This window comes from Homo sapiens, chromosome 10 (genome assembly GCF_000001405.40).
Source record: "Homo sapiens chromosome 10, GRCh38.p14 Primary Assembly".
NCBI classification, from domain to species: domain Eukaryota; kingdom Metazoa; phylum Chordata; class Mammalia; order Primates; family Hominidae; genus Homo; species Homo sapiens.
Window position 1 is genome coordinate 118,035,407 of NC_000010.11, and position 24,357 is coordinate 118,059,763.

The 24,357-nt window shown below is 36.8% G+C and overlaps 1 protein-coding gene and 1 long non-coding RNA gene across 5 annotated transcripts in view, besides 2 other annotated features; one reads left to right on the forward strand and one right to left on the reverse strand.

Annotated features, from left to right (window-relative positions):
• RAB11FIP2 (RAB11 family interacting protein 2) overlaps nt 1-11,535 on the reverse strand; it is a 42,026-nt gene extending 30,491 nt beyond the window's left edge. For both annotated transcript variants that reach the window (NM_014904.3, NM_001330167.2), the window contains exons 1-3: nt 10,405-11,535; nt 4,717-5,159; nt 3,566-4,034 (exon numbers count right to left, since the gene is read on the reverse strand). In NM_014904.3, coding sequence (NP_055719.1) covers nt 3,566-4,034; nt 4,717-5,159; nt 10,405-10,757 — 1,265 coding nt within the window. In that variant the 5' untranslated portion in view covers nt 10,758-11,535. The remainder of the gene's footprint in view (nt 1-3,565; nt 4,035-4,716; nt 5,160-10,404) is intronic.
• Nucleotides 221-414: a silencer, noted in NCBI's record as "fragment chr10:119795138-119795331 (GRCh37/hg19 assembly coordinates)". NCBI's record gives its function as "represses an EF-1alpha promoter that drives an FKBP-Casp9 reporter gene in an ReSE screen in K562 erythroleukemia cells {active_cell/tissue: K562}" and the evidence as "EXISTENCE:reporter gene assay evidence [ECO:0000049][PMID:32094911]".
• Nucleotides 10,973-11,462: a silencer, noted in NCBI's record as "silent region_2863". NCBI's record gives its function as "represses an Ori minimal core promoter by ATAC-STARR-seq in GM12878 lymphoblastoid cells {active_cell/tissue: GM12878}" and the evidence as "EXISTENCE:reporter gene assay evidence [ECO:0000049][PMID:35858748]".
• CASC2 (cancer susceptibility 2) overlaps nt 11,415-24,357 on the forward strand; it is a 163,333-nt gene continuing 150,390 nt past the window's right edge. For all 3 annotated transcript variants that reach the window (NR_026939.1, NR_026940.1, NR_026941.1), the window contains exons 1-3: nt 11,415-11,697; nt 14,106-14,211; nt 16,725-16,790. This is a non-coding gene — a long non-coding RNA (cancer susceptibility 2). The remainder of the gene's footprint in view (nt 11,698-14,105; nt 14,212-16,724; nt 16,791-24,357) is intronic.

Here is a 24,357-nt window from a genome sequence, read left to right on the forward strand (position 1 = left end):
TACATAAAAATGCATACATACGGCTTTATGGATCTGTTTTCAGTCTATTAGAAAGATCTTCACAGCCCACGCAAGCAGGGCTGGAAGTAGGAGGCTAACGGAATGAGAGTAGCATTTCAGGAAACTGCTATACTGTGTGCATTAGGAAACTGGTTTGCTACACTGTGTGCATTAAGAAACTGGTCTGCTATACTGTGTGCGTTTATTCAAAATATCTAATACCTGCTACCTACCAAGCATCACGCTGGAGACTAAGGGCAAAAAGAGGAATGAAATGCAGACCCTGCTATCAAACTCTTCATGGTAGTGGGCAAAAAAAGTGAGACTAAGCTATTAGTGAACAATGCCATGCCCACAGAAGACAAGACTTACGTAAGAAAATGCTGCAGCACAGGGAACAACTACCCCTCCCTACAAGAACAGGAAATGCTTCAAAGAAATAGGGGCATGTAAGAGACTGCAAATTAGTAACTTCGGGGAAAAGTGTTTCAAAGAGCCCTGCTCTTTGCTGAAGTAACCCAAGATAATGCCTAACTTCCTCTATCAGTTTTATGTAAAACTATGGGACCTATTCCAAGGACAGGATCAAAATGTGGTATTTTTTGTGGTTTCCAAAGTGCTTTCTTCAGGCGGACTTTACTTAACACTAAGGAATAAAAAGTCTAACTTCTAAAAAAAGTGTGCCTTAGTACATTTTAAAATTTTGGGCATAAAGAAAATTCTCCAGTTTTAATAATATACATTATTCAACCAGAGGGTAACAATATGGTTCCTAGGTACCAGCAATCACAAGTGAGCCAGTTCACTCACCAAGAAGAAAATGCAGTTCCATGGCTATGTATTTTACCCTTAACCTTGTTCAGCATTCTCACAAACACTGGCCACAAGAGTCCAGGAAACTGTAAATAGGTCTATTTAGCACTCCTGAAAAAAATTCACAGCACGTGTCTTAATAATGTGAGCCCATAGCTCCAAAAGTGCATTCGGTTAGGATGTTAATGTGAGAAATTTAAAATGTCCCAGATAGCTGAGGGTTGATACTGGGAGGAAAAATAGAACTATACTGTTACGTAAAGACAACACTACCTTGGCAATATCCTCCCAAATTCCACTCAAGATAAAGCTGCTTGCCAAAAGTGTGAACTGCACACTCTTCTTGGGTCTATTTATATTCAATTCTTCTTTTTTATAAGATTAACTAGAACTACCCCTTTACTGCAAATGTTTTACATTTACCACACGGATGGTTTGTGATGCAAAAAGAATAACTTCCTAGGAATCCACAAATGTTCTGTCCTCATATCTGGCATCTCATAAATATGAAGAAGAGAAAGTCATAAAATGAAAAACAACTATTTTTTTTTACATACTTGCAATCATTTCATACATCATAAAACAGCTCTAATTTTGCTAGAAACAGCCAATAATAATAAAGTAACTGAAAACAAAGCCTGGATGTGTCAAAATGCCACAGGCACTTTTAAAACCCGTAACAGCCCACATAAACAACTCAAATACAGGGCAATTAAAGATTTGCAAATACTCAATAAGCTTTTTTTTCCATATGCACCCATAATGTAAAAACATTATTTTCCTATCATTTTCCATTTTCTTGCTTTTCTTCTGACTCTAAAATTAGCTAAATTGCCCCATCTCCAAGTTACCTCAGACAGTTGTTTCCAACAACCTTCTGTAAAAAAAAGTTTAGTAAAGAGGGAAAGAAGCAAATATATTTCTATTTACCCATATAAGATTTAATGTAATATGTGAAGTACAGTATGTAAAATACCAAAATATTTTTGAATGGCATATCAAAACTATAAACTCTTCAATAAAATATTGATACCATATGATAAAAATGTTATTCTTCTGGAGTATGGTTTATAAACAGAACAGAATACTCTTTTAAACCATGGCAAATATCCATTTATAGGTAAAAGAAAACAAAAAAAGTACACTTCACTTTGAAAATTTAAATGCAAATTTTTAAAATATCATGGAAGATACATAAGAGAGGTGAGAGGGCACAGCCTAAAAGTGATTGATTGTTAATACTCTATTTGCTGTTTCTAGTGGGACAAAACAAAGCACTGTTTTTTAGTAAAATATAACATGACGATACATCAAACATAATTGTAGTCACCATTTATGGATTCCCTATTTGGGGCCTGGCTTTGTATTATGTACTTTCATTTATCCTCACCGAATCCTATCAAGTGGGATTATTTTCCTTGTTTCAAAGATGGAGATACTGAGGTTTATGGAGGTCATAGCACTTCTAAGCCAGTATTCCCATTCAGGTCTGTACACTCTATAATATTGTCTTGAAGAAAATCTTCTATTACGTGGTAAACACTCTAGCATGCTCTTCCAAGATAATTACAGTCATCTCTCAGTATCTGAGAGAGATTGGTTCCAGGACTCCAAGGATACCAAAATCCAGGGATATTCAAGTCCCCTATACAAAATGGTACAGTATTTGCACATATACGCAACCTCCCATATATTTTAAATTATCTCTAGATTACTTATAATACCTAATACAATGTAAACCAATGTAAACAGTTGTTACACTGTACTGTTTTTTAAATCTGCATTATTTTTTCATTACTATATTGTTATTTCTTATTTATTTTTTTAAATATTTTCACTCCATGGTTGATTGAATCCAAAAATGCAGAACCTGCAAATATGGGGGGCCAACTATACTTAAGATGGGAATAAATTTATCTTTTCTTTGCTTGAGGTTTCCTTAATCAGCTATTTCATCGTTTACTTCTGTAAAATCCATAACCATATTTAAATTTATTCCTTAGCATATCTACACTTATATCTATATATGTAGATATAAATTTATATAGATATAGATTTAAATTTAGATATATAGATATAATTTAGATATACTAAGGAATAAGAAAAGCACCATTATATATATAACTGAAAACTCAAAGTTGGAAAATCCAATCTTTCTCATGAGTGATTATTTCTGACTATAAATCATCATATAGATCCCTTGGGTATACCTACAGAACCCATGAGGGTTACTGAATTCCAATAACAAGCATTCTCAAATAAAAACCACTTCTAAATAGCCATTTAATAAGGATAATTAACATCTATTAGGAAAGCCATTAATACTGAAGCTGGCGTTTTTTAAAGAATAGCACATGGGCTGCTGTTGGTCCTTTCCAGGTAGCCCATGAACGAATCCCTAGAAACATTATCACCTAAATTTCTGGCTTGAACTAACACCCACTGGCAATTCACTCTCGCCATGTCTCATCACAAGCCATGTTGTTTTCTAAGTTTTGGTGAATTTCTGGCTCACATAAGTGGAAGTAGACCAGGATAGAGAATAAGAGTCTTTTATCTTCTTAAGATAAAAAAGTTCAGTTCCAAAAATATATGCAACATTGCCTGGCTCTATAATTTAATTATACAAATAAAAATGTTTTTCAAATAAAATAAAATGACTTGAAAATATTCTAGCATTTAAAAGAAATATTTGATACCTTCAAGTACAAGATTTTCCCAAATAGTAGAACTTCCCCCATATTAAGCTTACCTTGAAGATGGCATTATATTTGAAGCCCTGAATTTTGCTGTAAATGGATTGGTTGACTCATAATCAAAATAGTCCTGGCGATTTTCACTAAATGCATTAGGTGATTTCAAGTCACAAGGGCTATCAGATCCCCCATTGTTAAGTTTATCAGATCTTCTGCTATCTTTTTTTCCAGTCACTCTTTCAAACAGGCTAACTTTCTCCCTTTTCTCTCTTTTATTTTCTTTTCTTATTTCAATTGGTTTTGAAAATAAATTCATGCTGCTGTCCCATGTTTCGCTGCTTTCTTCAAATGGATTTTTCTTCCTTGGCAGTGTTGCAAATTTTTGGGGTAATGAAGCAGTCACATTTGTAAATGGGTCATTTTGTCTTCCGAAACACAATTCACCTTCATCCACAATGCTGTCAGGTTGGTTCATTTTAGAAGTATCAAAGCTTAATGTTCTTCTGTGTGGAGATTTGAGACTTCCTACAAACAATTTTGTAGTTAGTACATAATCAGTGACACATTACATCACACTATTTGACACAGTCTGTGTGCATTCTGCTGCTTTTAGAATGAGAGCAATTAGCCACTTAAATGTATTAACCTTCAAAAAATCAAGGAAACAATCTTAAAATGCTAAGGTGTAGCAGTCTGAAGCATCGAGGCTGATAACAACTAGCATATTGCTAGACCATTAGTAATGTATTCAGCTCACAATCATATAAACTATGATGTCAAAACTAGAGGTTCTGGTTGGCATGATAATGTTAAAAATTCTCAGAGACTTTTTCATTAGCATTAAATTTACTTTCTTACTTCTGAACATAAAAGTTTTCTTCTAAGGACTTTATGATGAAATGGAACATTCATTTATGCTCAGGGTTTTGAGATAGCAGAAACAGCAGTAAAACAGGCAGCCAAGCCATAAAAGGAAACTGGCACTCATTTTATTATCATCTAATAATATAAATACAAATGCAGACAAGCTCTGCCTTCAAGGAACTTACCAATTTGAGGTATAGTAGGTACTCAATATTTGATGAATGACAAAATTTGGAAAATACTACAAAGCAACTGCTATTTTGATTTACTAAATTTAGAAATTAAACTTTAAAAACTAAAAGGGTAGTTCAGACCAATGAGTACACAAGAATGTGACACTTACCACTTTCTGGAACTGTTCCAAAGGAATCTAACTGGTGTCCGAGAAGATGTGTTTGACCTATGGTGCCAGCCTTCAGTTTCTCAGAAGACATATGGGACCCAGATAAATCAGACATTGAATGCGCTGACGAGAGTCGCTGAGGACCCAAGAGAAAAGGCTTTTTTGGTTTGGATTTCATCTGTATTTCACCACTTGAAAATTCACTATTGGCATCGGGCATGTGAGTACTTGGAATGATTGCAGAAGACGTATCAGAAAATGTTCCATCATTTTTTCTACCCTTCATCTTATCTTTTAACTTTGCAAAAGGAGATCTGGTTTTGTCCTTCATTGATAAGTCAAACATACTTGCGGTCATATTGTTCCTCATAAACTGAATATTGACCTTTATCTCACCCCTGTTTTTGATTCGTTTTCCTTGTTTGGATTCTAATCTAAACCACCTTAAAGAGAAGAAAAAAAAATTGGCTGTAACACATAATAGAGAGAGGATACTGAGTTCTGTTACATACAAATAGCCTTTTAGGTAAAGTAACTATACATCAAGGCAACCTAAGCTCTGAATAAGAATCTGTCAGCCACAGTATTTCGGGCTTTACTTATTATTTAGTTTAAAAAACTGATCATTGTCTCTGTGATGTAACATATACTGAAGGAATGAATAGGTCTTTGGCAAGTTTGAAAATGTTTTCAGATAATCTTTTCTTTTGTAATTTGAAAATCACTCATCATCAAAAATTCTTATCAATGCTAGAAGTTTTCCATATGGGATTAAGTGTTGCTCACGGCCTAAGGACATTTTTTTTTAACATTAAAAGACATTGAGGCAGAGATTTTGAAAGAATTCACCAATACAAATTATTTTTGAGCATTATAAAATGAATCTCATGACATTTTAATACAATAATAAATACCTGGCCCCATCCCAAAATATTACTTACGTAAAAGTAGCAAAAGAATTTTGTTAACATTGGAGATCATTGCATATAGCTTGCTAATCATTAAAACAGCATATGATGTCATTTAGATTGACATAAAATGAATCAAAGCCTACTCCTGAATAAAATATGCAAAAAATAAGTAAAATGCAAGAAGTGACAAAAAATAAATCTTGTGAAGTTTTCAAAAGGAAAAAAAAAAACCTAAAATGCTTCTTGTTTGAATCTATTTGCTTCATTTTACTATTGCTACTGTGACAATACCAAATAAAAATTATTTTGAAAATGAAGCCAAATCTTACGTTTTAGTCCCTTCAATGTATGGCACTATCTGTATTTAAATGATATACAAGAAGCAATATTTTGGTTTTATAGTATTTTTATCCATGAGAAATTCTCCAGTTGGCCATGTCACAAGTGGTCATTCTATGGGAAAACAGCCAAAAAAAACTACAAAATCAAGCCTGAAAGAGTTTCTACAATGTTTTCACATAACTTAGCAATGAGGCATAATATCCATTCCTGCACACAGGTTATTATTTAAATATAGCTCTAATCGAGTGTAACAAATTTTCTTAGCTACAAAGGAACTCTGATCTAATTTTACATTAGTTCTTTCTCTCATTGTTACCAACTGGATATGCCAAGAGAAGATTACATTTACTGTATATCAAGTTGAAATACTGGCACATGATATAAATACCAGCTACATCTTTGCACGTAACATGGAAGAAAAATATTTTCTTGATTAACTAAATTGGAGCTATTCAATCAATTCAGATATAGTTGCATCAAAACTAGCCATTTCTTAGAATATCAATATTTTAAAATACTATTAGCCTGAGACCTTAAACTGAGAAAATCCCTTATATAAGGCAAATGGTAAAATCTGAAGAAACAGGGGCTAGAAATAAGAAATGACAGCGATTTCTGTGAAATAGACAACCTTAAATAACATACAATTGAGCACTCAAAAAGCCTGGAAATGAAGCAGATTATATACCCAGTTAACTCAAAGTTTTGGAAAACAGAGCTATTTTCAATAGGGAGAGAAACACATCTGACGAACAGTAGCTCAGAAATACTCTGTAGTACCTCAGGCTTTATAGAATGTAGGTGAATATACTTTGCAAAAAATGTACCAAAAATTTGCAAACAAAAACGAGCACGTATGTAACAAATCAAAGCAAATATGAGTAAAAAAAAATTAATTACCCCCAAAATGGAAGGGGGTGGGGGTAGTGGAAATTCACAGACTTTTAGAGATAAGACCAATAAATCATCTACTTTAACATCTTTATTTCATAGATGAGGAAATTGAGGCACAAGGAATGATATGTAACTTCCCAATGTCAGATTAAAGTCAATAAAGAAAAAAATCTAAAGTTGATGAATAACATCTGCAGGAAAATAGAAGCTCTTTCTTATTTGATGAACCACATATGTTAATAAGGTTAACCACATGGCTGGCACATACTGCAGGACACTGTATTTAATAAGGAGACATGAGAGCTGAAGAGAAAGACAATGCAAATTTTCTACTGCTAGAGTATAAGCTCCTGGAAGGCAGTCTGCCTTGCATTAAATGTTTATTCAATTTTTATTTCTAGAACTATATTCTTACAAGTAAGCTACAACTGTGTGTGTGTGTGTATGTGTTTACATTGTCTTGTTTTTTTAGTAGGAAACTGTAAAGACCTATGTAAACCTGAATAAAGCAAATCAGTATTTGACTACAAACTGTAAATACACTATAATGTCCATTCCCCACCCCCCAAAAAAAACTGCAAAGAACTTTTACAAATATACTCATTGAAAATGTAGCAATGACAAATAACTTTAGTTGCTTTGTTTTGAAAATGACATAATAGGGAAGTCTTAATGAGATCTTCAAGAATCATTTCAGAGATAGCATTTGTTTTTCCAGTCTTCAGAAAGATAAAACGAAGACACAGCATTTGGAGCTTACTGGATTAGCTGACTTTTTTTCACCTCTGGAGTACTGGATTTAAACTGTACATGGCCTCTGTTCAATTTTTAGTGGGCACAGGTCCATGTTCAAAAACCAGCACACATATGGGAACTATTCCCAAGCAATTGGTGCTGTGTGGTCAGAAATGGGACAAAATTGGCAGTAAGGGTGCCAGAGGCCAGGACACAGGTGCACCGCTGAGACACACACACGTCCTAAAATCTGCATATGTCTGAGTCACATCTAACTCTACAGACTCTGGTTGTTATTACTTTTCATGAGCATTAAAAAAAAAAGTCAACATCACCTACTTCTATTGTAAAAAATCAATGGATATTACACAACAGCATCAATGATTTTAACATTCTATTACTAAACATTGTATTATTTCTTTAAATCTCATGCCAGAACCAACCCAGACATCCTCTAAAGGAGGAGATACAGAAGTTCTCTTCCCAGGCCCACTCAAAGGGTTCTGGCTCAGACCCTTTTTCCCCATTCCTTAAGAGAGAAAAAAGACATATATTTTCAAGGTAAGAAAATAAGTAAAGTAATAATTTTAGTTGTCATACTTCTTTATCTATCATGACACAACTGGAAGACAAGCTGTAAATATATGTCTTCAGTGTCAAAATGTAAAAAGTGTCACACCCAGCAGTTTCATAGGACATCTAAGTTAGCTGGTAGTCCTCATCACTCGAAACAGTTTTCTAAAAAGCACTTGGGAATATGCTGAAAAAGTTTAGCAATGTGCAGAATATTAAATATCTTCCTTGAAATATACCGGCGGCTCAAGTCTGTCTCTTACTGGGCCACAGGTACAGCTGTGCTAGAAAAGGAAGCTATTAAATATATTAAAAAACTAGAAATATTACCAATAAAGATATCTCATCAAATACATGGTCCCCATTTATCCACAAATAAAATGTTAAGGGTTTAGCAATATATGAAAATCACTTTGAATGCAATAACATCACAAACCCTGTTGATAACATTTAAAAGCATTTTACCCCTAAAGTTCTAATCAATTTTATATAATAGCCAGTAGAGAATTTCTATAAGGAGAGACCATAATATTAGAGTATTGCTCACACCAAATGTATTGTAACTGTGATGTTGCCCAGGACTAGGAGTAAAACAAGAAGAAATTGTAAAAGGTTATTTCATCCTCAGACTCCTTGGGTTCACATTTGGTCCTACTTTCACTAGGAAAATTTATGTTTCAGAGAAGGCCTGAAATACATGATCCATGAATATTAAAGTACTATAAATGAAGTGAGGAATTTGAAGGTGCAATATACTTAATAGTTTACATTCAAAACACGTTAAATATTTACTAAGTGTCACCCAAAATTGGCAATTTGAAACAGATTATTTGGTAATTATCCATTTTTCACTTTCAATTTGATAAAGAATCCCTCGGAGGAAACTGAATGCCACTCTTTAGGTATCAAATAATTTTATTATTCAAATCACTGATATATATTAAACTTTACATTTAACTTTTTCTCTCCTTCTAAAATATTTTCATCTCAATTAAATGGTACCATTTTTCCTCCTGCATTCCTAGTATTTCTGATCTCTCTACACTTTTACTCCACATATATTAAATCTTAGGTTAAGACCTGATTTAAAATGAAACAAAAAAACTCCAATCAAGAGAAGCCTGAGAGTAGAAATGTACAGAAAAGAACAAGAGAGAGTCGTTTTAAAATGTAAAGAATTAACATAAACTTCAAGAAAAATATCATTGTAAGAAAGTTTTTTAAAGAGTAAATAAATTCAATTATAACTGAACAAAACACCAACACTATTTTGGAAATGGAAAGTCCTCTTAGAAGTTCAACCAGTATTTTTCTCTCACTAATTTCATTAATATAATGTCCTTTTAAGTTTATGGAAGGGGTGAGTATACTTAACTCTAAAAACATATTTTTTTTCAATTTAAGACACAATATCCTAGTGTTAATTTATATTATGATTTTTTAAATTAAAATGTATCTAACTCAAGCTCAAAAGTCATACTGAAAAGACCACTGAAGATGTTATCAAATCATTTCATCACAAAAATTTATCATTCTCTCCATCCTACAGCATTTAATATGGTCTAAACACAATAGCTTTGGAAAATCAATTCTGAATACAATAACTCTGATGTAATTGCAAATTCAAAGGAAAATGTAAGTGCATTCGAAGTTGAGGATGTCTGTACATACTTTTAAAACTTTTTTTTTTTCTAACAGGTATAGACTCCCATCAAGGCACACTGACCCTGAAAAATGGCTGAGCTAAAATAAAAGCTGTGTTTATAACGCTGAAACGAAATACTGAGTTCTAAATCTGGTGATTTATCTTTTGACAGCTACAAAGTGCGACACATCAACATTACATTGCCAGATTTAATTTCTCATCTTCCATTTCATTGATAATTGTAAGGTTTAAAATCCATAACAATTTATATGAAGTTCTAGTTGGTCAATACTGTGATCCAGTCCTCATACTGAAACAATGTTAACTTACTTAAAATCCACCACAAAATATTCAATTATTTGACAGATGTTTAACAGAAAGAATAAGGGATCATTAATGATTCCATTTAAAAAATATTTCATCACGAGTGCTACTTTTACTTCAGATTCATGCAAATATGGTGCTTAAAACTGGATCATATTTCAATCCAAAAACCAACGCCCGAAGTATACGGATAATTTCCAAGAACAGAAAAACCATAAATAAGATATAAACTCCCCCAAATTCAAAATAAATTACATAACTTACTCTGTTTTCCTTCTTTGTTTGTCCTCAAAGATGTCATTGAGATTGATTGCCACCTGCCCTAAAAATTTATCCAGACCCACCAGGGACCTGTGCATAACTATAAGGAAAAGAATGTATTTCTCTGGACTTCCCTGAATTAGCAATCCAGGTAGCTCGAAAGAGGCCTCCTCCTTCCAAACTGGCTCAAGGGTTTTCTCAGCTACAGAGGTGGAGTACTTTTCCTTGCCCAGCTGAATTATAGTGTATGTGTCATTGGTACCACTTTTGCCTTTTGGCTTCAGATCTTTGGCTTGGAGCACTGTGACCTGCACGTGGGTTGGAAACCACTTTTGGGCTTGCTCGGACAGCATCATCCTGTCCTGTTTCTCTGCCCCCGAGTTCCCTAGCACAGGCAGTGCCCCTCCCGGAGGGAGAGCCTAATTCCTTAATCACTGCATCCTAAGGACACTTAACGGAAACAGGCAGGCTCAGGGCTCCCCGACTTCCCTATGGCTGATGTCAAAACGCCTCGCGGGGGCAGCCCAGGGGCACGGCCGCTCCGGGGGTCCCCTTTCGTCTGGAGAAACACAGAGGCCCACCATCACCTGGCCGCGCCGTGCAGGCCTCTGCGCGGACCCCCGCCCCTGTCTCCACCTTCCCCAGGCCTGCGGGGCACGTGAGGCCTGGCCACACGGACCCGGGCGGAGGGCTGCGGGGGTGAAGGGAGCCCCCGCCCCAATTCTGCACCCCTGGCCTCCCGCCTGCCTCCTTGCGGCCGAGCAGCCTCCGCTGCCTCCGCGCCTCCCGCCCGCCCGGCGTTCGTCCGCAGGCTCGGCCCGGCTCCTCCTCCCGACCCCGGTAATACGAACCGCCGGCGGCTAACGCGGCCTCGCTCCCTCTCGCAAACCTCTCCCTCCTCCTCCTCCCCCTCGCCTCAGCTCCTCCTCTCGGGCGGGAGCGGGTAGCCAGGGGTGGAGTGGGGGAGGGCGGGGAACGCGGCCGCCCCGGCGCCGGCGGGACGTGGGGCGGGCAGCGGGCTGCAGGGCTGCGGGCGCTTGGTTCGGCCTGGCCCGGCCGGCGGCTCCTAACACCGGGCGGGCGGCTGCGGCGGCACTTCCGGGTTGGCCTTCTCCATGTTGGTCTCGGGAACGTGAAGGGGCGGGGCCTCGAGGTCAGGGGTCAGCACCTCCCTGGTTGCCGTGGCGACTGGAGGCGCGCGACGCGGGCGCAATGGCGGGGACCCGGGGCTTGATGCTGCTTGGGCCTGGCCCAGTGGCGGGTCCTAGGGACGTGGGTACCTGCAGAGGCCGGCAGGTGAGCCCTGGGGAGGGCTGGGGACCGCTCGTGAGAGGAGGTCATCAAAGACCCGGAGACGCCCCTAACTAGGGCGTCTTTGAGGGCAGGGGATCTGTGTTCGCTGTGTCCTGGATGCCCAGTGCCTGGCAGGAGCAGGTCCATAAATGGTGTTGGAACGAATCAGGCCTCTTCACTGACCGAAAGGAAACTTTTCTCCAATCTCCTATCCACCCTTCTCTTTTTGAAAAGTCCGTAAATTGACTGAAAATGACATCCCCCACCCAGACGAAGGGCGATAGGGAAGCAAATAGTTTCCACAGGGAGTAGAGATGTAGGGAGGCACTGGGCTGGCATCAGAAGACCTGGTTCCGGCCGCGCCTCTGCCGCTATCAGTGTGTGTGACCTTGGCCGAGTCATTTCACCTCCATGAGCCTCAGTGTTTTCACGAGTAAAAAAGCCAGTTCTACCTCATGTCTAAGACTCCATCACGACTCTATGGGCTCGACGTCAAAAGGACCCCCGTGGGGACTCACACTGTGGTGGACTGTGCAAATCATGTGGAGACCATGCCCCAAACACGGGTTTCGAGTTTCAGGGGATAATACATGTGCCTTTCCTAGCACAATGCGGCACATAAATCTCCTTTTGCCCCTCTATTTCTCAATTGGAAGAGACGCTTATGTACCACCCCATTGCTGTTAATTCTGTTCGTGTCTTACCTTCCCAAGGAAATTCTAAGTTTTGGGACTGCCTTGTCTATCATGCAGTCCCTTCATAGTGGCTAGCATGCAGCAGACAATTTACTGAATTACTTAATGCCTTTTTTCCCTTTACAAGACTAATTTTGAGAGTAAAACAATATGATACATGTAAATGCACGTTTTTTTAACTTAAATGGCCATAAACATGTAAAGTATCGTGTTTATTATTTTCAAGCAAGGTTTAAAACTTCTCATTCAAGGCAGAATTTTTCATCCCTGGGAGACAGTGTATGAAAAGGCCATGTGTGGAAAACAGAACAAAATCATCGTACTGCGAATATAGCATCTGGATCCCAGAGTGCACAGTTGTCAACTTTAAAGAAAAATATTCTTAGGGATTTTTAAACAGTACGTTGGAACAGTCAATGGTGGAATTTCACCAGGATCTCTAAGGAGAAATAATTTGACACCTGAAACTTACAAAAACCAAATAAACATCATGAAATCAAATTTAATTAAGTTTAGAGTTCTTATACATTTTAAAAGTCTTCATGTCTCTATTAAAGGTTGTAATTAAACAATAGAAAATTATAATAGTGGATGTGTATTTCTGAAGAGCTTAAATTGGTAAGCTTTATTAATGATTATAAACTTGTTTACAAATATAATTTCACTCATCTCTGAAATATAGCCATCTCTAGGGTAGAAGTTGGCAGCAGTAGTTCACAGCAACTCAATAACATACTCCAACACAACTCAGAGAATACTCTAAAGGCAAGAGCTGAACAATTGGAATTACTAACCTCTCTTTCTGTAGCACCTAAATTTCTTTTGAGTTTTCCCAACAGCTGGCTAGAGCCAAAATTGTTTAGTTTTACTGGTGAAATCAGAAATTATGACTTAAAATTTTTTAAGCCAGAATAAGAAAATAACATATTTTTGCCCCCGGGGAAAGCAAATAAACAAACAAACCAAATGAGCTAAATAGAATCTGGGATTGCATTATAATAAGGAAATGACTTCCTATAGAATGTTTTCCTTTTTTGATTATATTAAGAGAATAAAAATATGACAGTGGAGTCAAAGATATGGTTGGCTTATAGTGAAAAATAATGACAATTACATAAGATCTGGGATCAAAGTGCTTCTCCCAAAATGTTTATTGTTTTACAGTTTTAAAAATTCTTTTGACTAATTCTAAGATATACATGGACAACAATTTAAAAAGGAAAGGATTGCGTGTGTAAGGACAACATACCAGAATTGAAGAGAGTCACTTTTTAAAAAATTATCCTATGACTAATGATACATCCGGAAATGTATGGTACAATTCCAAAATCAAAGTCTTGGGAAAATAATATATTTTAGAAGGAAAATGCTGAACATTCTAATTTTAAACTGTTAACAATGCCTACAGCAATGAATAAGAATGCTTTGACCAGAAAGTTAAAATAGTCAATATTTATTCCCCATGAGTAGAGGATTTCACAGATGAAAATATTTACTACATGTTGCCCCTTTCAGTCCCATAAAGAATAAGTCCCATAAGGAGACCTATTCCAGACATTGGGGGAGATTTTCCCTTTGGACAAAGGCATCTCTAAAATCACATCTTGCAAATCTGTTGCAGAACAATTATAATGCTCTCATGTTTAAATAGCCCACTGGGTCAAGCGTGTTAATGCTCCCATGTACATTATGTAATGGATATTAATTATTTTCCAGATGGAGATTCAGAAACATAAGGACAACAAGAAACTTCCCCAAGGTATCATTATAGTCTTTAGACTTCAGACACACACCACACCTCAAATATATACACAACTGAAAGGTATGTAAAATTCATATATATGTACATATGACAAAGCCCCAGAGTTATATTGGAGATACATAGATAGATGATAGATAGATAGATAGATAGATAGATAGATAGATAGATAGATAGATCAATCTCCTTGTAATCGGTTGAAAAGTGAAAGAGTATTTGGCAAATTGACTTGAAATTATTATGGCAATGAACTGGCATTTGGGGATTTTTGGGGATTGTTTTGTTTTGTTTTCATCGCTGGACTGATCAATTTCTCTTCTGGGATTGGGCAGTGTGTGGATACATTTTGTGATGCCCAAGAAGTAACATGGTATGTAGTGTAAAGAGCTCTAGTCAGCAGCCTGGGTCTTAATCCCAGGGCTGCCTATTACTAGCTACATCTCTTTAGGGAAGTCATTTTTCTTCTTTGGGCTGTCTTGTAAAATGAGACTTTTATAGCAGCCACCAAAGGATCCTCTAACATTTAAAGATTCTACATAGTATATCCACAACGCAAAGAAGCAAATTGCATTATAATTATCTAACTGAATTTGGTCAATATACTAAAGCAGATTTCCTTTTTATGTAACATATTAATAAAGAATTCTCTAATTCAGGAGAAAAAAATTATTTTTTAAGATTTCCTGACAGCTCTGTCTCCCAAATGAAGGTAATTAATGATCACAGAAAGCAAGTGAATATAAGTTTTATTAATAGGCTCTGCATGAGGCAATTGACACCAACAGCTCAAGATTTGGAAGAAATTGCATGTATGTGCAAGTGGTTTTGAGCAGCCTTGAACTTTTTAATTGTAGTAATAAGTTTATAACTTCTATCTGTATTATTTGTAGCTTTTTTGAACTGTGAAAATATGCTGAGATTGGTAAGAATTTACGGAGCAAAATACACATTTGCATATAAGAAGGTTTTGTATGGGAACATCTTTCAATTTCCTTTTCATAGTATCATAGTATTCCATTGTATAATTTTTATTCCTACAACAAAATGCATATTAATGCATAGAACACGAATTGATTAACTTTAACTGGTATATGGCATTGGGTGAGATGAATAAGCCCCATTTGATCTTTTCTCCTTCCAAAGGACATTTAAGTTATTTCCACTTTTTCAATTATCATAAACAATGCTGCATAAACATCTATATATCTCCTATGCACATATGCAGGGATTTGTTTTGGTAATTGATGATGAAATTATTGGGAGTTTGTGAATGAGAGTATGGAACACCCATGGGCCTGAGTATTAGACTTGAATTCTAATCCTGGTTCTACAAACTAAGGAGTTATAGACCTGGCAAGCCATATTCTGTCTGTGCCTCAGGGACTCCTTCCAAATCCAGAATTCTCAAACTCCTTTTGTTATATTTACTGAGAAGCAGAGATTATTGCTATTGGAAGAAGATTTTGTGACTACTTTGGTATTTGTCTTCAAATTTCAATTGTCTCATCATCATGAGTCTTTCTGAAATCTTCCAGAACATTGCTGCTTCTACAGATTTAGGTGCGGGTTAATAAGGGCTGGAGAGTTTTGATTATTCCTGAAGGCAATGATTAGCAGAGTTATATAAACTTATCATATTTGTACTTTGTAAACATCTGCTAAATTTTTTATGTTCAATTAAAATCCAAGACAGGGATATTTTTTAAACAAAGAACGGGGTATTCAAATTATAATATTTCTAGGACGGCCTGGAATCCATAAAATTTCTGGGATAATATTTCTGGAAATACATTCATTTAGAGAGCATTAAACCGGTGGGCGGATGGCAAAAACATTTTGTGGTGGTGGTTTTTTCCCCCATGTGAGATCGACTGTTCTCTGCCTTTCTACTTATTTGATCTATGTTAAAAAAAGTAAAGGGCTTTTGTTGTGTTTTGTTTTATTTGTTATATTTTGTGTGTTTGATATAAAGCCTGGGGGAAAATGACATTTTGAAGGATAGATCCAACTCTTCTTGTTCCAGGGCCAGATTTTAAACATTTCTCCTAAAGCAACTTTCAACTGACCTGAACAATGTTTTAGTCCATCTGGATATCTGATCATAAAAGCACTTTGGGCTTAGAACTGTATGCTTATCTTTTACACATTCTGGGTTAGGTCACCTTCAGTGCACCTATAGGTTGTTGCCAGTATGTATTATAATCATTTTCTGGTTATTGGAATGATCATGGCTGATCTGTACAGCCAAAACTGAGCATAAGATGTTGCTTAGCAATGTATACCTAAAGGAGATACCTCATTTCAGGAATTATGTAGTATAGTGGACAGAAATCTTCTGGCTTAAAAAACTAATGTTGTATATGACCTTGAGCAACTTAAAGTCCTCTTCCAGAAAACAGTGAATTTTACATTTCTTCTCTCTCCAAACTTGGATCTTGGGTTATCCAGAATGGCTTCCCAATAGATTCAAATCAATGAGAAAATGCATTTTACTGTTTTTTTTATCAAGTTTATGCAAGATGAGAAGGTATATGGATTGTGCAATTTGTGCCCATAACTATGTTCTTTTAACACAGGAAAATTAAGGAAGTTTTTCAAAGAACCCTATTCCGAGTAAGAAGTGTGTTGCATGAATTTCTAAGGTAGGTTTTGCCCAGATCACCTTTATAATTTTGATGGTCTTCATTTTCCTTTCTGTCTACACTTGGACATTGGAAAAAAAAATTGAGCAAGCTAGCTTTGTAAAAGTGAAGTCTTCTGAATTAGGCACCTCAGGAATCAAGGGCTTGTAACGCTTTCTGAAACAAGATTTGCTGCAAAGTTCCTTGGATGGAGACACTGAACACTGTTGAGTATTCACCCTGTGGTAGATTTTTGTCCCCGGGCACTAATAACAGTGTGACCTTGGGCAAATTGTGTAAACCTTCCAAATTTAGGTTTCCTCATCTGCAAAGTGGGTTGTTGGGAAGATTAAATAGGGGAATCAGGTAAAAGTACAGAGAGGGCCTGACACATAGGAAGTGCTCAAAAGATGCTTGTTGCTGTTGGCTTGATGATGTGTCCCTTCTTTTCCAAGTACTTACTTTCCTCCTATCTGAAGGCAAAGGCTACACAGCAATTGGTCTGGACTGTTCCTCACCAAATAATTAAGGATCCTGAGCTGTGGCAGGTGCCCCTGTAACCCAGCAATGGAGACCCTGAGTTATTTTTGTTTCAAGCCAAACTCAATGTTATTGGATACTCTTTTTCTAAACAAAAGTAACATAGAATAAGCCCTTAATAGTATTTCAAACCTTCTTTTAAAATTCAATAATGACTTTCTAGGTATCATTTTAACAACTTTATAAAAATGAATCAGATCCTTGAGTTGAAGAAAAATAACTCCTTACATTATATACCTATACGTAGCAAAATTGGAAATTTATGTAGTAGATCATGTACCAGGTAGTATTTTAATATTCTAGATTTTCACTTCAGAGAGAATTATGATAAATTTAAAAACAAAAATATAACGTCCTGTGAATCTTACAACAAACATTCTGCTAACCAGTGTATCCATACTCTCCTTCCCTTTCCTCTCCCTCTCCTCCTTTCCCCTCCCCTTTTCCCCTTTCCCCTCCCTTCCCTTCCCCTTCCCCTTCCCCTTCTTCTCCTTCTCCTCCTTCTTCTCCTTCTCCTTCTCCTCCTTTTCCTTCCTTCCTTCCTTCCTTCCTTCCAACAGAAATGTATTTCTCACAAGTCTGGAGATGGGAAGTCAAAGACCAAAGTACCAGCAGAATGGTTGTCTAGTGAGGGCCCTCTTCCTCCTAGATGACAGTCTTTGCACTGTGTCCTCAAGGGTAGAAGGAATGAGCCAGCTCTCTGGGGTCTCTTTTATAAAAGTGCTAATCCCAGTCAAGAGGGCTCTGCCAGGGGCCCTGCCTCCCAATATTATCACCTTGGTGCTAACCAATATTTTCTAACTTCCATTTGCTACTCTAATGTTAACTCTGTTATCTCAATTTTAATAATAATAATAGCTGACATTTGCTGATGACATGCCTTACACTGCATTCATTAACATCTCAATCTCATTTAATTTGAAAGAGATAAAGCAACAGCCAATACACACATTACCACTTTTTTTCCTATCCTGTTACAAAGGAGATGAGGTTGTGGGAGAACTCTCTTTAGGCATTGTTCACATCAGGACACTTGAGAAACAGATCCTTCATATCCTTTGGACAACTCTTGTACTTCAGTTGGCTTTAAGCATTATCAGAGCATCCTTGACATGATGCCAGGTCCTAACACCGCTTCAGTGAAAGCTCAGAGACAAGCAAAAGATAATTGATCTATTTTGTGCCGCATGACATACTCGATGAGCAGCAACATATACTGTGGTGTTTGGCCTCCATAAACTGCAGAGAAATTGAAATATAGTAATAAACTTTATGCACGGACAAAGGGTGACCTAGGATATCACTGAACTCTTCTGCCTTCATAACCAAATGTCAAAATGCTAATAGTCTGTTCCTTGTGGAAAAATGTTGAGTTTTCATTCGGGAGATCAGGACTTACACACTAACTCAACCTACAGTAGACACTTGCTAGAGAATAAAACACAATAATGCACGTAGAATCGTTCTGTAAACTGTAAAGAATTTTACAAATATGAAATTTTATTATGGTTTTAGTCTTGTATCTATTAAATGTATACCTATTAGCATGCACACTTTTTTCTTCTAGCATCAAAGGTTGCTTAAAATAACAGTGGAACATTTAAAAGCAAGAGAATTCTAATTTACCATCATTCAAATTATGTTAAATCCAACTCAACTTTATAAGCTAAGGAACATGTGAAGGATAAATAAAAATTTGATAGTTAAGAAGATAAATATATGCAGATAAATTATGTGATGAGTCAAATTGATTATTACAGGACAATATACTGTATTAATAAAACAGACTAAATTTAAATGTATTGTGCAATGGCAAACCTAGTGCCTTCTTGGAAAAACATGCCTTAACAAGCTCATGTGGTTGCAAGGTTGATAATATCTTGATAATAACTTATGTTGTTCTTATTCCTAGTAATTGCTGGCCTCCTTATGACCTTCCGCCTAGTTTCAGGCAGTAGCTAGGAGAGCTAGACTAACTGCTCCAGAGAAGTGAGGCCAAGGCATGCAACAGAGTCACTTCTCCGCTTTTCCATTTCAAAGTAGACAATAGGGGAAGATATAACAAAAGCCAAAATTTATGCAGTAAAGAAAAAATTGGGGAAGAATGCAATTAATGAAAGACCTACACTATACAAGGATTTCACTGGACGAAGTGAAGAATAGGGAGCTTGTAAAGAAGATCAAGATAGTTGGACAGGTGGAATGTCTCCAAGACCTTTCCACTCGCCTCCCCACTTGTTGAGCATGGGAGCTGGGCAAATGGATGATAGACCATCCAGATAAATTTTGGCATCTAAAAGTAATTGTCACTTGCATCTTGTTTCTCAAGAAGGACCTTGAAAGTAAGCAAACTCCTAGAGCTCCCTAATCCCATGCACCACATTGGCTTGGAGCAGCAACAGTAGCAGTAGAATAGCAGAGCAGGGGGACTCAAGGCCAAGACGGTCTTGTTACAGGCAACTCCCTGAGCCTCCTTCCATCCGAGAGGTACCTGAGAACCTCTAAAAATTTCATTTCCCCCTGAAAGGTGAGAAAGTGACTGAGAGAGGGCTGATAAACTAGGGTCCTCCAGGTCGGGATTGGGAAAATTCAGAATATACATGGATAAAGAACCAGGGACTGGCCATGATAGGACCTACACCTATTACTTCATATGACTTGCTAATAGGAGTCAATGCTGACAGCCATAGACCTTCCTGGGCTTCTCCCTGGGGCCTCAATTTCAGTCCAGCGTTAAGAACTTAGTTTTGGTCTCAGGGAGAAGGATAGGGAGATGGAAATTTTACCTGAGTTTAAAAACCTGAATTTATGCAGATATGACATTTTCTGGATACATTTTGACAAGAGTAGAACTAGGGGAATCAAAATAGAGATTATGTTGAGTAACAGGGAAATAGAGTTACAGTTCTTGCCTATCATCTGAGTATATGGACTGAAATACTGTACCTGCTACATACATTGTAAGCAAAGTGAGGTCATGGCCAGAGCCCAAGGGTTTGAGGAGCCTTCTATGACGTGATGAGATGGTCTTGGGTCCCCTATATGATTAGCTTGTGGTGGTACATTAGGACTAAATATTCCAAATGCATTAACATAAAGCTGAAGTGATGTCCTTAGTGAACTTGGTCTTAAAAATTAAGAGCATTTTGGTTGGGTGACCTACCAACAACATACAGGGAAGAGATACAGGATCTTGGTTGATTCTCACTGCAGTAGACATTGATTTTGTGGTGTAGCAGCTTGTAAAATTAATGCAAATTTGAGATGAACTAATAAAAATATAGTTCATGAAGGTGCCCCACTACTTGCCCTACCTCTCCTCTCCTGTTACAATAGATCACCCATCTTTGTTCCCATCTGAGGACTCAGGTAATGGACTTCATCTCTTCTTGTCTTCTCAAGGATTTTGCATCTGCCATTATCCTTTCTCCCTCCTGTATCCTCAGTTGTTTTCTTCTCTACTGGATCAATGTCATCAACATACAAATATTATCTAGTATTTCTCATATTAAAAAAAAAACTTAACTTGCACATACACCCCTGTACCTCCTCCAGCTACCTTTCTGTTTCTTTTTAGAGCAAAACTTATTGAATGAAAAACTTGTTCATATTTACTTTCTCTTTCTGCTCTTTTTCTCTCGAACATACATCAATCAGATTTTTGTCGTCACCCCTCTACGGCTACACATTGTCACAGTCCATATCTTATTTGGCCAATTAGCAGCACCTCACACAGTTTGTTGCTTATTTTTTTATGGATTAGGTAAAATGAGTGTTTACATTTATAAAGCAGGACATCTTAGGAGAACTCCAAGGTTTGGATTGATGGCCTGTTCTATTGTAATATTTTGTATATTATAGTTTAGTGTCATTATGATTCATGGTGATAAGTAGTAAAGACTTAACCCCAAAGCTGGCTTACTATGCTTATTTAATGTATTTTTTTCAATTATATTTAAAATATATTTTCTATTCATTCAGTGCATCCACTATAAAATTTATTAGATAACTTGAATGAGCTGCTTCTCCAAAAAGCATGATCGCTAAAGAGCACTCTTAGTTTACTAGCTGTAACAAGGGATTTGAAGCTGGGACTTCAGGCATAAATATTTGAGTCTTGGAACTTTTCTCTGGTTTTGTGATATATATAGTAACCTACAATTTTATACACATAATATGTAATATTAACATACTATATGTAATTTCTATGTTTAGTATTGTAAACTTCTTAGAAACATAAATACATTGTGGTATACATTGTGTACTATTATAAATATAATTCATAAATATATAACATAATCACAAACAATATATACTAATTATGTTATAGGCATATATAGTTAATATGTTGAATTTTATATGTATGTATATAATTTATATATTCTTTGGCTGCAGGAACCTGAGACTCATACCAGTTAATTTGTTTAGAATGGTTTTGTTATATTGATATATGTGGAGCAAATTAGAGGTATGGAATTTCATGGATATTTAAGCCTAGGAGTCAGTCCTGGCCTAGGTGTCCTGGAGTTTAGCGGGAGTTTGAGGGGTCTTGGCAGCAGGAATTCACGGCTTATACAGGTAATCCACTCCTGACGTGCCTCGCTCCTTCTCCCTATGTCTCCATCTCCTCACTGTCACCTAGTGCTCTGTATTTTGGCTCTCCCTCCCAGCCCCTGCCTACTCCTGTTCTGCTTCCTCCTCGTAATGCTCCTTCTTCTTGCCAGGATTTCTTGTGGCACTGACTTACAGCTTTTAGCCTTAACTTCCATGGTTGAGAGGAAGCATCAGCTTTTCTTGAGGCAGGACATATCATAGCAGCTCTGGCTCCGTGACCTGTGGTTGGGTGGAGGGAGAGAGCTAGGGCTCTGAGATCTGCATAGGATTTCCCTTTACTTAGGGATGTGGGCGGGACCAGTTCACGTGAATGGAGCTGTGGTAGGCAGATGTGATGACTGACATATAAAACATATTAAAACATAGTCATTGAAAGCTTCTGATGTGGTTCAAATTTCAGGGTCAATCTTCATTTAAGAACAAAAATACATTCTACTCAGTTTAAATGAAATATAGTGTTCAAAATCACTAAGTATAAGCTCTTATAACACAGATGCTGTATGATAGAAGCACATATCACTCCATTTTTTCTATATTAATGTTTGTAGATTTTTTTCTTTAAATTGTTGGACTAATAATGACTTTGTAAATTATAATTGCTAATATTCTCTGGAGTGGAAGGCTTTTCAAATCACCTTCCACATTAATACCTATTTAAATTAAAAAAACTGAGTTGCATTTGGAATTTCTGGGTTTTTCTGTTTGTCATGCAAACATTCAGCTCTGTTCTTTTTATGATAATATGAAATAAAGTAGTTTCTCACAGTAACATTGTAAATCATTTGCTTTCTATTACATGCAGCTGGTTTTGTTACTATAATGATTTTCTATGAGTGCATATTGCAGAACACATAAGATGCAATGTGATATTCCTTTACTCAGAATTTGTATGCAATTATTGTTTGCCCAAAAATAATGAGAAAATTTGGAAATATAGTAATTTATTGTAATACATTTCTTTTTAATATGTATCTACACTGAGGGAAAAAATCTAACTTAAAAAAATGACATGCCATCTTTTTTTGTTACATAGACTAGAGTTTTCATCTCATGGAAAATTCAGAATCAAAATCAAAAACAGCTGAGGTAGTTACTTGGGTGCCTTCCTTCAGCTTATTCAAAAGAATATAGGATGAACAGTAAGAATTAAGTAAACCACAAATTATTTTGGAGTGTCTGGTTTATGTTATAAATAAATTTTTCACTGCTGGTTGTTTTTTCAAAGATAATGCCTGTATTTTTGATATTCATTCCTGTGATCTAATGTAAACTCTGTCCTGCCAGTTTGGTGTATTGGTAGTTCATGACTAAACTTTTTTTATTACACTCATATGCTATAAATATTTCTCACTCTGCTCTTTTGAATCTCCCTAAATGGCAATAGTCTTTAAGACATGTCACGGAAAATGTTAAGAGAAATGTCCCACTTTTGTGTGGGTACATATTAATTTCACACCTTGAATGGAGCCTAGTTTCATCAATAATGAAGCATCTACTTTTCAGATGCTGAATTAAAAATTATTTTATTATTAAGAAGAAACAACAACAGCAACAACAAAAAGTAGAAGCAACAACAACAAAAACAGTCAAAATGAATTGTCACTGTGGCATCAATGTTTTGTTCCTTATTGGTCTTGACTAGAATTTTAAAAGACTTGATGGTAAATCCACATTTGTTTGTAGTTTAATGAAATCATAGTACGTTAGATTTTGGTTTTAAAGTATAAATGTTTGTGAACCTTTTCTTATATACTTAAAAAAAATACTCATATTTTCATTCCTAACTACAAAGGTACCATCACTAACATAGTGCATTGCATGTAATAGGGAAGACAGAAGATTACTAGTTATTGCCTGTGTGCCACATATATTAGTAGTGTGTTTAATTCTCACTACAATGTTCCGTTATTAGTCTCATTTCCTCAGTAGTTCCTGTGGCTCCATAGAAAGGAGCACAGAGTTTATAAGAGGGGGCAGAGTGGGGCAACATTGCACCAAGAAAAGGTTTCAGAGGCAAGAACTGATGGAGAGGGTGATCCCTTAGGAGTGAGACATCAGGTTGAGCGTGGTGGCCATCTGTAATCCCAGCACTTTGGGAGGCCCAGGCAGGCGGATCACTTGAGGTCAGGAGTTTGAGATCAGCCTGGCCAACATGGTGAAACCCATCTCTACTAAAAAAAAAAAAAAAAAAAAAATAGAAAAATTAGCTGGGCATGGGGCGGGTGCCTGTAATCCCAGCTACTTAGGAGACTGAAGGAGAAGAATCACTTGATCCTGGGAGGGGGAGGTTGCAGTTAGCCAAGATCATGCCACTGCACTTCAGCCTGGGCGACAGGGCAACACTTCATCTCAAAAAAAAAAAAAAAAAGGAGTGAGCCATCAGTGATGGAGAGGCCAGCATGATGCTCACTATGACCTAAGAACATATGGAACC